Genomic DNA, 14,612 nt, shown 5'->3' on the forward strand with positions numbered 1-14,612 from the left:
ATATATGATGTCATAATTCCTTTTGGGATTCACTATTTGAGCTCCACTTTTCCATTCAGGAAACTGGAATCATAAATGGAAAAAAAAATTACTATGTAATTAAGCTTCTAGCATGTGCTGGACACTGTCCTAGATAAATAATTGTCTCTTCAATCCTGAGAATGAAGCTTTATTGACCTCGTCCACACTGTTGGTTAGTAAGTGACATTGATCAAACAGTTTTGCAGTTTAAACATTATACATTTGTTCATAAAATAAAAATAAATGAATATATAACATTTGAATTTTCTCAGATTCAAAAGATGGTACAGACAAATTAGGTCTTGAATTCCACTTTGTTATCCTGATGTTTTTTACATATTCGTTTCCATCTATTGCTTTCTAAATAGAATCCCCCTATAAATGTCCAATATCATTACAACTATTGTTATAAACAAAAAGTGAATAAAGAGCAAAGGAAAAATCATATGTTTCAATCATATGGTTAAATGAAAGACAAAAAAACCTCATGTTACAACAACAGTGACTTAGGTGAAACCGAAGCTACACTGAGTAAGAGGTTTAGATTAATGTGTGATATTCCAAATCTAACTCAGATGTTAATAGAATTGTGTGGGTTTTAAAAATTTTTTTATTTAAACAAAAAAAGTTCCATGTACAATGTGTACAACAAGAAACAATAAAATTTGTAAACATGCTAATACTAAACAGAGTCTTTGATTTTTGGAGTTTATTTTGACAGTATTGTTTTAATGGCTTTTCCTAAGTATGCCTCATCTTATTTGTCTAACATTGCCAGGTTTTGAAAGACTTCTGTTTTCTCAGTCCTACCAAGAGTTAAATATTAAGGTTTTCTTCATATATTTTAACTTCATAAAACACTCACTTAAAGGAGAGAGAATGCAAGCTCGTTATTATAACATCAGTTAGTTGCTGATATGTCAGATCATTCATATAGTCAACTATGAGTATTGCAGGAACACAGCAAACAGGAGTTAACTTATAAATTTTGCATCTGGACATTGTAAAAGAAAAAAACTTGTTTTTGTTTTTTGTTTGTTTTACGTAAATCTCCAGAAGATTCCCAAGGACAGCAATATTTAAAATAACAGAACTTTCCTTAGCTAACAATCAGATAAAGTATCCAGTTATCAAAAATCGACGTATGCACGTCTCTGCTTTATAAACAGATTGAAATAAATCATTAAATTTTATTTGAAATTAATTTGGAACACTTCTGTAAATACTGGCAGTTGGATGTGACAGAGTTAGCTGTAACTGCAGATACAGATAGTGGAAAGAATATCATCCTTTTTCCTCAAAAAACATAACAGGAAATAAATTGTTTTGCTAATTTAATTTGGGAGATGTTTAAATGCATAACCTCCAGTGAACTTTGCAATTCAATAAATAAAATAACATAAAATGATTTACTTGATAGATTAGGATCATCCTGCTTTTTAATTCCTATAATTGATAGATTATAAAGGAGAACCCTTTTTCAACATTTCAAAAACTTACCTTGGACCAATATATGAGGTACTTACAACCAAGTCAACTAAAGTACAAAATCATCTGTAGCTATCTTTATATATATAAAGGGATAAATATATATATATATCTTTATATAGATCTGTATATATCTTTATATATATCTATAGCTATAGCTATATAGATATATATATTTAGATTAGTTCCTAAAAACACTATCCAGTAAAAGGTAGTGGGAATGTTAAATTTTACACATTTTGACAAATTGTTCTATAAAATAATTATAAAAGATTAACTCAACATAGCATACTAAGCATTTGCTAAGCATATTCATCCCACACAGTGTTACTTTAAAATAATTATATTTTAAAATATAATAAATACACAATAGTACTAAAAATAAGAAAGACTCATAATATTGAAGAGATCATCAAAGAGGAATCAGCTCTAGAGGAAAAATAATTAAATGATATCCCAAATTATTTGCAATAGAGAATGCAGTAGTCAATGGCAAAGACAGAGATACTTCAGTTTAAAGTTAATTAATAGTTGTATAATGAGTTGCAGAGGTCCCTGGAGTCAATGTTAGGGCGATTACTTGAAAAATTGCATTGAGAATTAATGCAACTATATTCTGCTGCTTTGTCTCTTGCTGAGAGTATTGTTACATACCAGAGTGAGAAAAACAGGCCAATTTATCTGTAATAACCCATCAGGATGTTGCATACCCGGAAGACAAATGATAGGAATGTTTTATCTGTCCTGACCTCTCTCTATATCAAGTAGTCAAGTCCTAGCAATACATACCTAGGACAAATGATACGAAAACATGAGTACTAAATTTTGGTGATCAATGTAACAAACAAAAGACATAACACCTGAAGAAGCAGGTTTAATAGAACAAAGCACTTAATGTAGAATTAGCAATGTAAATGTTCAAGCCAAAGGTTATGAAAGAATGCAAAATGCAATCTACACTAAAATGTAAGCTCCCCACTAGGACGTAAATTCTATAAAAGCAATTATTTTTCTTGTTTTGCTGACTTGTATTCCCAGAGCTGATACTTAGTAAATTCAATAAATATAAATGTTTATTGAGTGAACATATGTAACATAAAACAAAGGGATGGAATGTAGAAAGAAAAGTTAAAAAAAAATCTACCATTCATCTCCAAGTACTGTTAGAAGGGAAAATGTCCTATTGAACCCCAAAAGACCTCTCAGAACAAAAAAAGGACATAAAATCTTCTGAGGAATATTAACAAGTTTAATGAGTATAAGATGTTTGAGTATTCCGATTAACTCTTTTTAATTATCAGGCAATTCATTTCTATCCAAAAAAACAGGGAGTTCATTTTTTCAAATATTTTTGGATCACTACCCAAATACCACCATGTCACAAATCAGAACCAGAAGATATCAACTGCATGAGTCACACATCCCATGTTATCTGACTAGAATGCAATTAATTAGGAAATGAACAATTAAAAGAGAGCTCGAAATATCCAAACACTTAGAACTACGAATGTCTACATAAATTACTATCTTTATTACAGAGGAAAGCAAACAGTAACTGAAAACTAATTAAAAATAAGCTAAAATGAGAACACTGCATATGAACTATGAAATCTGTCCAAATCAGAACACCTAGGGAAATTTTATGCATACGTTAGGATATAGAAGACTTTAAATTATGTATATTGTCAAGATCCTAGAATAAGAGCAAGAGATGTAGAAGGGTGCTATTAAATGAGATTTTCATTTAACTCTTTCAACCATTGAACATGTAACATCTTCCAGACACTAAAAAAATACTGGCTCACAAAATACAATGGCTACCAAAACCAGATACCATTTGTGACCTCAGTCAGCTTAGAGTTGATTAAGGAAAACAGATACTAAAGTGGCAAACAAAAATATACAAGTAAATAAATAAATAATAAAACAAAACAGATATCACAAAGAACATTCCATGGGAGAGTTTCACTTAGTAGAGGAAAGATTTTTCTTAAGAAATTGTGACAAGTCTGAGATCTGAAAAGTGTGTAGGTGTTAATTAAGGGAAGTTGAAGGGACAGGAATGCAGGAAGAAAGGAGCAGTAAGTCCAAAGGCGCTGGGTTGTGGAGGGATGTGACATATTACAGGAACTAAAGGAAGGCCTGTGTTGTTGGAAGACAACATAGCCCAAGGAGAAGCTTTAGAGAAAGTTAAAGAAAAATTACAAGGATTCTTTTTTTTTTTTTTTTTGAGACGGAGTCTCGCTCTGTCGCCCAGGCTGGAGTGCAGTGGCGGGATCTCGGCTCACTGCAAGCTCCGCCTCCCGGGTTCACGCCATTCTCCTGCCTCAGCCTCCCAAGTAGCTGGGACTACAGGCGCCCGCCACTACGCCCGGCTAATTTTTTGTATTTTTTTTTAGTAGAGACGGGGTTTCACCGTTTTAGCCGGGATGGTCTCGATCTCCTGACCTCGTGATCCGCCCGCCTCGGCCTCCCAAAGTGCTGGGATTACAGGCGTGAGCCACCGCGCCCGGCCAAATTACAAGGATTCTTGACTCTAGCAGGGGATCCAAGAAGACTCAGCTTCCACATCAGATATAACTATATCATTTACATTCTTAGGTCTAATCCAATGAGACCAAACACTGACACATCAAGTCATGCCAAGCAAATTTATTACTCACAGAAAGGCAGCAAGGACAAACAGAAGCCTGGGATTCATGGTGAGCAGCTCCCCCAAGGCTCAGGAAAGATCCCCAGTAAAGAGGAAGTCTCATCTGGTAATGCTGCACATCACGCTGCAGCTGAGGGACTCTGAAAGCATTCTACTCTCAGTTTTATACTGGGTTGCTGAACACAGCATTGCAAGACATCCCATTCTGGCAGAAACAAGGACACAGCCTGAGTTGTTTCAGACATTTCCTCCTTATTTCATAATGTAGTATCCTACAGTTATTCTGAGAAACAAGCAGGAGTGGGGCTGAGCCAGATCAGCCAAGGTCATCTTGGAAACCTGCCTTCCTGCACAAGTTCATGTAGTGTCTTTAGTTCATGTTCATGATGGTGATCTTTACCTTAAAAGCAGTGTGAAACCACAGAAATGATGTAAGCCAAGGAAGAGGTATGATGTGGTCAGATCAGAATTTTGAAACAGGTCCTTCTAACTGCATATGGTAAATAGATTGAGGGGTGGGTTAGGTAGACTGAGCATAGAGCCAGTTAGGAAACTACAGTAATCCATGTGAGAAAACACAGGTGCTTTTCTGGAATGACAATGGGGGAGATAAAATGATCCAGGCAAAGTTGAAGGATATTTAACTGTTAAGATCAATAAAAGCACAAGCAATAAAATAAAAATCACAGACAAAAGATTCAATCAAAAGCTCTAAATAATTAGAAATAAGAGATATGTACTTTAATGAGAAACCATTTTCACATGTAAGATTGGCAAGCATTAAATGTTCAATATCAGCTACTGGCAAGTATCTGACATGCTAAGTGAGAATATAAATCAGTACAGATACTCACAGAGAGTAATCTGAAAGCATCAGTTAAAATTTTAAATATGCATTTTCTTATACCCAGCAATTCTATATCATGGTACAACCAATGGATGCATTTGCACATGTGAGAAGGAGCCATGTGTAGAACATTCATTGAAGTATTATTTGTTAATAGCACACACACAAAAACAAATGAAATTAGCTTAAAGTTTCATTAAAAGGAGTTTGGCTAAATAAGAGACAGACACACATAAATTTAATTAGAATCAGGAAATATTTTCACTGGATGGAGAACAGGTTGAGTGCCATAACAATGAGCTGCAAAACATGTGGAGTGTTATAAGCATGAGGCCTAGAATAATCATTTCTGGGTTCGAATTTATTCGCTTTCTTTTTTTCCCCATGATATTCTCTACTTTTCCTTTGTCATGGTAACCAATGTCTAGGTAATTTTTGATATTTGTTTTTCTGTTTAGACTGTAATCTCCAAATAGCAGAAATCCTGTCTTTCACTGTTGCATCCCTACCACCTAGACCTGTACCAGGCACATTATATTTAGTCAGTATATGTTAACTATTAAATATATGTAAATGCTTGCATAAATGAACAAATTTATGAATGAATAAATAATCTTACTTTTGCCACTAACTTTCAAGCACACACATTTTTCAAGATTCATTTCTCTCAAGATTCCTCCTATAGAAATAAAGGCATTGGTATTAGATTTCTTAGTGCCTTTTCTACTTTAAAATTTTATAATTCGAAGATGTTGCTTGTGTTGTCTCAAAAACTTTTTGCGAGGTTTATTTTTTTTATCGTAACATGATTTTAACTCTTTTATATTTCCACAGACAAGATGTAACCTACACAGTATTTCCTATGTTTGAACTTATGCGTAAGAATCTATGTTTAAATAAAGCATGCTCAAATGTTGCTATATTACCTGCTTCTAATAATATTTTAAATTATTTAATAAATCCATAGGCAAATAAAATCTCATAAGATTTTTAACATAAATGCACAGTGGAATATATAGTAGAGAAGATCTGAAATATCCAAGGTGATCAGAGCGAGGATATCTTATAAAAATGGGCAACTGTGGCAAACAGGGACTGAGCAGAAGTTTTGGTTACTTTAGTTTCTGTGTTACTTTATGTTAATATGATCATAAAATAAAATTGGAGAGATGCTCCCAAAAACCTGTTTAATATTTTGGGATTGTGAGAGCCTATGCTTTCTTGTCTAGTTCACCATCCTATAACCTTGTAATCCCATAATACCACTCCAGACCTCCATACATGACATGAGTGAGTGGGAAGCACTTCAAACCAATTATGTAGTATCTTTCAGCTAAATGGCTCACTGGCACAGTCAAATGTCTCATTTTGCACTTCATTACATATTGGCCAACTGGAGCCTGAGAGGAACACTAATTAATGTAAACTTGTTCTCCAAGTCACAAGACTCTGAAGGCTTATTGGTTTATTTCTCTCTAAATACAAATGGAACATAAAGCATTCGGTCTGTCAGTATAGTTTCACATCACATTACACCATGGTGACATCTCAAATCATTCTAACCTTTTCACTGAAATATTTGTTTGCCTCTTCTCTAAAACATTTTGTCAACACATATGAATATACACTCAAACAATTATATACAATATATAGTAAAAATATAAAATCACAGAAAAATTATTATTTATAAAAAATTAACTTTATTTCTTTATGATGTACTCCTCTCCCCCTCCATATCAGAAGGATTTTATATCCCTACTCCTTTTATTTTTGGGTTGGTTATATGATGATAAGGTTTTACATCCCAAATCCTTTTATTTTGAGGTTGGTTATATGATGATACGGTTTGGCTGTGTACCCACCCAAATCTCATTTTGAATTGTAGTTCCCATAATCCCCACATGTCGTGGGAGGGAACAGATGGAGATAATTGAATCATGGAGGCAGTTTCCCCCATGCTGATTCTTGTGACAGTGAGTGCTTTCTCCAGCAATCTGATGGTTTAATAAGGGTCTTCCCCCTTTGCTGGGCACTCATTCTCTCTCCTGCCACCTTGTGAAGAAGAAAGTGTTTGCTTCCCCTTCTACCGTGATTGTAAGTTTCCTGAGGCCTTCCTAGCCATGCAGAACTGTGAGTCAATTAAACCTCTTTCCTTTATAAATTATCTAGTCTCATGTCTTTCTTTATAACAGTGTGAGAAGGGACTGGTACATATGACTTGCTATGTTTAATGCAATGTGAGTGGATGTGACATGTGCCAGCTCCAAGCAGAATTATTCATTGTCATTGAATTGTTGGCCACATTCCCTTTTCCTTCTTCTGCTAATCTATCCTCAAAACTAGAGAGAAAAAGAAGTAGAGTGTAGCCTGAAATCAAAATGTAAGGTGAGAAAAAAAAAAACTTGTGTTTATAAATCACAGAGGTTCTGGTGTTATTTCTTAGGTAGCTTTGTGTCACAGAAGATAACTAATACAGTGTGTAAATGGAACAAATTATATGAATCAATACATTAGTAAATGTTGTGTTATGGAAGTAAAATTTGTAATTGAAGTTTAAGATCTTTAAACCAGCAAATATTATTTTCCTACAGAATTTTGAAAAGAATCCTCCAACATTGATTTGATGAGTTGTTGTTGTTGTTTTAATGGTAAAGACAGCTGGTATTAGGTTTTTCATTAAAATCTTAGTTATATTTGTAAATATAATCACTGATTCATTTATTTTCAATAAATGATTTCCTACTTTGGAGATCATTTTCTTTCTGTGGGTAGATCACAGAGACTGTCGCCGTATGTTTCTGTAACTGAGCATTTCCAACCCTGAAAGGGATTGGCCAGGAGTTTTCTGAGATCCCAAATACATATTTAGTTTAAAATTCTCATGTAAGTGAAAAATATAAAAATGGAAGGCAAGAAAAAGTACCTAATAGGTCTGTGGCTTTGGCTGAAGAGGTTTCAAAGCAGAATTTAGATAGGTTGAATTATGGTTTATTAGGTGCTCTGAATTAAGTGAGTTTAGAAAATAATTTGGTCTTTTCACAATCAGAGATGAAAGAGAAGACAAAGATAAGAAATTCCATGGTTTTCAGAGTTGAAAGAGGCAACTTTTTGCATTCTCGTTTATAAAAGACTCTTGAGTTAAGACTCAGCCTCTGGGCAAAGAATAAATATGGTATCATTGCATTAAGTTGGGCCCCAATACGGTAAATCCTATCTGTTAGACAAAATGGCTCAGAAAAAGAGATCCAGCATATGGTTAGATGGAAGTCTGATAAGCTCAAAGTACCCTTAATTAAGTCTAGAGAGAGGCATATAGCAAAAAGAATTGGTGTTGCAATTGGCATATGGAACTGACTGGCATCAAGTAGTTTGAGTTTTTTGAGGGAGCTCAAACTACTTGGGGGAGAAAATTTTCCTATTATAAAGTAAGGGAAATTATAACATTTTCCCGCAGGATTTCAGAAACAATTAGGACCAGTGACCGTTCTGCCCTCTCCTGCTTCTGCCCTTTTCTGAATGTGAGTATTCATGGGTAATGTTGCTCCCTTTCTACTACTGTATGTCTGTATTTTGAGTATTTTTAACTTACCTATCTGTGGATAACTTGTATTTTCAGTAGATAGATTCCTTGATCAAAAGGAGTTAAATACCAACCTCAGATTGATCATGAGATCCGGGACTTTGAGTCTAATGTGTGATTTAACTTTCTGGGTTTCTTGGAGAAGATACAAGTGTATTTTGTTCACAGGAGGAAAATAAATATTTGAGATAAAAAAGAAGCCAGGGGTAGAGTATATTATTTGTTCACAATCATCTATTTATTTTTCTACCTTACCATGCTGTTATATAAGCAGAATGTATTTTCCTGTTCCTTCACTGGATTTGGCCATGTGACTTGTTTTGGCCAGAAGAATGTGATCAATAATGGGACACACCGTTCCCTAGCAGAACCTTTAAATGCTCTTGCATGTCATGACTCTGTCCTCTTTTAAACTTCTGTCCTGGACCATAAGAACAGCCAGGGTCACTGTGTACCAAAATAAAAAAGCCAAGTAGAGCAAACCGAAGCCAAGCTTAATCCTAGAACGGCCCAGGAGAACCAAGCAAGAGCCAATCTGTAGCACTCAGGTCACATAAATAAGTAATATGTGTTATTGTAACAGATTGAGATTGCCGGTGCCTGTGGCCAGAAAGGGAGTTTCATTTACAACTTCTCTCTCCAATCCCTATTCTTTCACCAGCCGCTCAAATTTTATCCTTTCTTTCTCAGTCACTTTGAATGTGTTTTCTTTCTTCCTTGAATGCACTGCCCATATTTTCATCCCACATCCACTTTCCATACAGATTCTTCACCTCTCAAGTCAAAATCCACTTCCTCAGGAAAGCCCTTCTTGATCCTCTGGGTTAGGGTTTTTCCCTGTTACATTTCATCCTGTCACGTATATTTTCTTAAAACTAAACCCAATTTATATTTTTATGTTTTCTGTTATGCAATTATTTGAAAAACACTGGTCTCTCCAACTACACTGTAAACTATGTAAGAGTAGGAATTATGTCTTATACTCAGTCAGCATCTGAAACAGTGTTTGGTAACTAGAAGAAGTTCAATAAATATTTATCTGAACAAATACATGTTAACAAGTTATATAAATAAATTTAAGCCTCACATTCTATGTAACTACTTATGTCTGGATATTGTTCTTGAGGATATAACTAATTTGTTTCCATTCATTGTGTAAACTTGAAATTAGAAAAGTGATTTACTGATAATTCCCATGAAATACTTCTCCCATTCAACGCTGTGCATGCGCCTGCTACCCAACATGCTACTGTTTCTTGATACACAGTTTCCTGTTTCCTGATGCTTAGGACTACCTTGAATAAAGCCTTTGGGACACTAGAATGAATACTGAGATGAAACATAGATGGATCTTTTTGTAGAATTCTGCTCTAATTACCCTGCAAATATTAGAATGTTTGCAGGATAATATTTAAATTAAATTTTACTCTCAAATTATTTCATTTTTCAAAGAAAACCTTTTTCTGTTAAAAGCACACCTGAAATGTTCAAATAAAATCATTTTTGTGGTAAAGCAATTGCCCAGGGAAGTTTCTAAATAGAAGATAAGAAAGCAGTAGTCACTTTACTCTGAAAGGCATGTTCCAGAGATTTGTAAAATTTCTCTCCTCCTCTTTTACTGTGACACACCATAACTAAATTGTTTATCTTTTATGAGCTTCGATTTTCTCTTGGACAATATGGTGGTAAGGGGCTTAAACGTATGCTTCGTTATCAGAGAGCTATAAGGTTTTTTATTGGTTTCATACAAGTCACCATTATTAGTTGATCTTTAATAAAAATAACAGTAACTATTTCTTGCATTATTTTGAATATTAAATTACGTACCAATACATAGAACATGTAATATTTGCTAACACATAATTTTCTTTCAATGAATATTTTTCTTTATCATTTCCTGGAATCATTAGGATAACTAGATAAGACCCTTTAAACTGTGTCTAATGCAGAATTAATACGCAGTAAGCACTTTTCTCTCTTTTTCTATCAATCCAGTGTTACTTTATGTAAGGGATATTTACTATAAGTTTTATCTTTCTATTCGTTTTTACTTTAATAATTGTTTCATTGCTTATTTTTTAAAGTCTCAGAGAATGAGATTTGAATAATTTTATTTGCCATACAAGTTCAGTTTAAGTGTCTGATTTAAACCTTTTCTGGAAGCACCAGAATAAATCCTACACATGAGCCCTCCCATGTTTTCACACTGAAACATAAATTCCCAGAAGATCAAAATATGGCACATTTATCTTTGCAGACAATCAACATATCAATATGCCTAGAAGCAAAAGATAAATTTTCCCTGTGTTTGATCAATAGAGTAATAACTATAAGTGCTATGAATGAAGATAAAGCTATCTCCTCTATTTTCATATCCAACCACATTATTTGACTTGACCTCATCTGTGTCAGAGTATTCTATTACCTGACTACACATAAAGCAAAGAACATATTTCCTTTCATTGATTCTCAATTTCCTCATCATTAATTTCATTGACTGAGTAGCAGGCTTTGAAATTAAAGAAAAGTAAAGCTTAAACAGTGAACCCCAGTCAGTTTAGTATTCTTATCTTTTAAAAAATTATTTTAGCATTTTTTCATGAAAATGAAAAAGAAGATAAAAGAAAGAAAAGGCAAAACATACCTAATACTGAAATCCTCATTCTTGGAACAGTGCTTGATAATTATCAAATAACCTGTAAATAAGTAAAGTAAGATTTGTAAACAAAGCAATCAATACCCATACACTATACATTCACCAGAGAGTCAACAGAGAAATAAATATGTGTTGGTGGCCAATTTGTACCAAGACTGCGAAAAATACTGGAGATATCTAGATGAAAGGTCTTTCCCCAAGAAACATGTAACTAAGTGGAGGTAACATGTTAATTATTACAGTGGAGCTACAGTACTGCAATGGAAAGAGTGAGCGGAAAGCAGCTATCTCTGGAGAGGTTAGGAGCTACCTAGAGCTACCTGGAGAATGCAGAGAGTATTTTATTTACTCATTTTCATATTGTTCTTTCTCTTTTATTCTCAAGTCATATTCCATTCATTGTCATATTATTCTAATGGTTAACATTTAAGCTAATTATCTTATTGATAATAGTAATTAAATAATTTTAATAAGGATCACCTTTGACACAGGTTGATAAATCTTTATCCTACCTCTTATATTAGTCCTAATTAAGTTGAGCTTTTTTCTGATTAAATTGTAATTGATTTTACAGCTCATGAATTTATTGAAATGCATGTGTCTGATATTTTAATACTATAGTCTTCATGTTTAGAATAATATTATGTTTAATAAAAATGTGTTGAACAAATCAAAGCACTATATACCTTAAATTTCAGTGGAAGAGGATTTTTTTAAAAGTACAAAAATTGCAAAACACAGTAATAAGCTTGGTGAAAAGTATAAAACAAGGTGATGCAATAGAAAAAGAAAGTGGCTATTTTAAGTAGAGGAAATAAGGAAGGTCCTGAGGAAGTGGCAACTGATACCAGGCACGAACAGCTAGTTGCATGAAAATCTTGAGAAAGAGCCGTGCGAGTTAAAAGAAGAGCCTATTTAAAGGCTCTTAAGTTGGGAATAAACTTGGCAATTTGGAAGCATAGAAAGAAGGTAAGTATGTATGAAAAAGAGTAAGAATAGAAGAATATTATCTAATATAATGTGTGAAAAGTTGAATATGGGTAGATTATGGTAGGGTTTTGTAGGCTCAGATAAAGAGTGTGAAGTTTATTTTGAATTCAATACAGTGTCTTTGCTGCAATGGTTCTCAGCCAGGTAACAATTTTGCCTCCCAGGGTAAATTTGGCAGTGTGGACACATTTTTAGTTGATACAACTAGGAGGGAAAGGTGCTACTGGCATCTAGTGAATGGAAGCCAGGAATGCTGCTAAATATTTTACAAGATATAGGATCGTTCTTCACAACAAATAATTATCTGGCCTAAAAAGTCAATAGTATTGCAGTTTAGAAACCCTATTTAAGGAGATTGTAAAGAGATAATGATAAAGTAACAGTATCTAACTTACATTTTAATTAATCTGGATACTGGTTGGAAATTAAATTATAGAACACTGCACATCACACTCGAGTGACAACAGAGCTTTGTAGGGATCAAAGAAAAGAAAAGAAGATATAATAGCATTTATATCGATCACATATCTATGTAGTTTTATTTCTGAAAATATGACTTCACCTGTGTTGCACATAAATCCATCTAGTAAGTCATATTCTAAATTCTAATGCGTTTATATCCTCTTCACCTCTTACCTCTAAAAGCCTTGCAGCTTCAACAACTTCGACAGTAGAAAAGACAAATCCATCCATCATTAACAGATTATTTAAGATTTCAGTGTAATTCCATATCAACCTTACCCCCAGCCCCAATACTATTTTTTATTTATTTTGTTTTCTTCAGGATCATAATTAATAAAACACGATATTTCTTCCTGTGAGGATTTATATCACCAGAATGAGAATGAAGTGTGAAAGCCAAACACTCTCCATTAACTATTGTTTATACAGCATTTTTACTTGTCAAATGTTATTCACAGAAGAACAAAATATGATGGGGATATTTTTTCTTCTCCAATTCTAGGCAATTTGATTAAGTTGCTACACATTCATACATCATTCAGTGAAAAATAGTATTTGAACTAAAGCAAAAAAGACAGAAAATAATTTTGACAGTTCAGAAAACAACAGAGCTTCTAGGAATTGGGAATTTTGAAGGAATTTTCAAATCTGCCATGTTCTTTACTTCTAAAGCCACTGAAAAGTGATAGAGATTCTTTCATTCAAAGACCTGCGGTCACCACTAACCTGTGATGATTAATAGAAGTATGTCAGTCTGAATGTTTGCTCCTTTCAAAATCATCAATGAAACCTAATCACTAGTATGATGGCACTAGAAGGTAGAGTCTTTGGAAAGTGACGAGGTCATGAGGGCAGAGTCCTCATGAATTAGATTAGTGCACTTATAAAAGAGGCCCCAAAGAGCTGCCTTGACCCTTCCACCACGTGAGGACACAGCTAGAAGGTGCTATCCATGAACCAGAACGTGGGCCCTGAGCAGACACTGAATCTAACAGCATAATGATCACGGACTCTGCAGGCTCCACAACTATGAAAAATAAATTTCTGTTGTTTATAAGCCTTGTAGTCTATGACAATATGCCATCACAGCCCAGATAGATTAAGAAAACAGGCATTGTAGACAGCTACTCATTTAAATTTCAGTTCTACCATTCATTTGATTTTAAATGAAACACAGGTAAACTTCTTTGAGTCCCAGTTTGCTTTCCTATAAACTGAGAATAATATCCATTATTAAATAAGAAAATCAGACATGCGGTACATGCTGTTACTGTAACACCTAGGAGTTAGAAGATATCTTGTTATTCATATTTCTATTTGAATCATGTGGTCATTGTTGAATGGCCATGTTTTAATGAGTCAGGCACATTTTACTTAGCTAACTCTTCCTAAAATTGGAACTAAGAACTGATTTGAATGCTGCCCATCTCCTCCCACTTTATTTTTCCAAGCGAAACATAAATTCAGTCATATTTATGAGCCCAACCCTGATCCTCAGGTGCCTTGGGTTACATTACTGGGATCTACCAAATGGTCAGTTTCTATCTGCTCAGTTCACAATCACAGGAAAGAACAAACTCTCTTAGTTATTTGACAATGGCAGAGACCAAAGAGAGATTGGACTTTTGGATATATATGTCTACAAGAAACAACCAAAAGAACAGTGTATTCCCAAGAACAAATGACAATCGTATCACATAAATAAGTCAAAAGGAGGAGCTGAAGGGAATAAAATAGAAGGAAAATAAAAGTCAATCTTTATATTACTTATTCTGGGTTAAAAGTGTATGCATCAAAAATGTTTGATACGGTATTTGATTTAGTACTAATGAGTGAAGAGAATATTATTTTCCCATGTATAGACGAGAAAACTGAGATTATAGAGAGAGGTTAAATAAGTTGCTCACAAGTTTAC

The 14,612-nt window shown here is 34.0% G+C and overlaps 1 long non-coding RNA gene across 2 annotated transcripts in view; it reads right to left on the reverse strand.

Annotated features, from left to right (window-relative positions):
- LOC105376637 (uncharacterized) overlaps window positions 1–14,612 on the reverse strand; it is a 292,809-nt gene that overhangs the window by 97,851 nt on the left and 180,346 nt on the right. Inside the window, exon 3 of one of the 2 annotated variants that reach the window (XR_001748194.1) lies at window positions 11,234–11,285. This is a non-coding gene — a long non-coding RNA (uncharacterized LOC105376637). Of the gene's footprint in view, window positions 1–10,981; window positions 11,286–14,612 lie in introns of those variants that run through there. The other variant, XR_001748195.2, reaches the window with a different exon arrangement.

This window comes from Homo sapiens, chromosome 11, assembly GCF_000001405.40.
Source record: "Homo sapiens chromosome 11, GRCh38.p14 Primary Assembly".
Taxonomy (NCBI): Eukaryota; Metazoa; Chordata; class Mammalia; order Primates; family Hominidae; genus Homo; species Homo sapiens.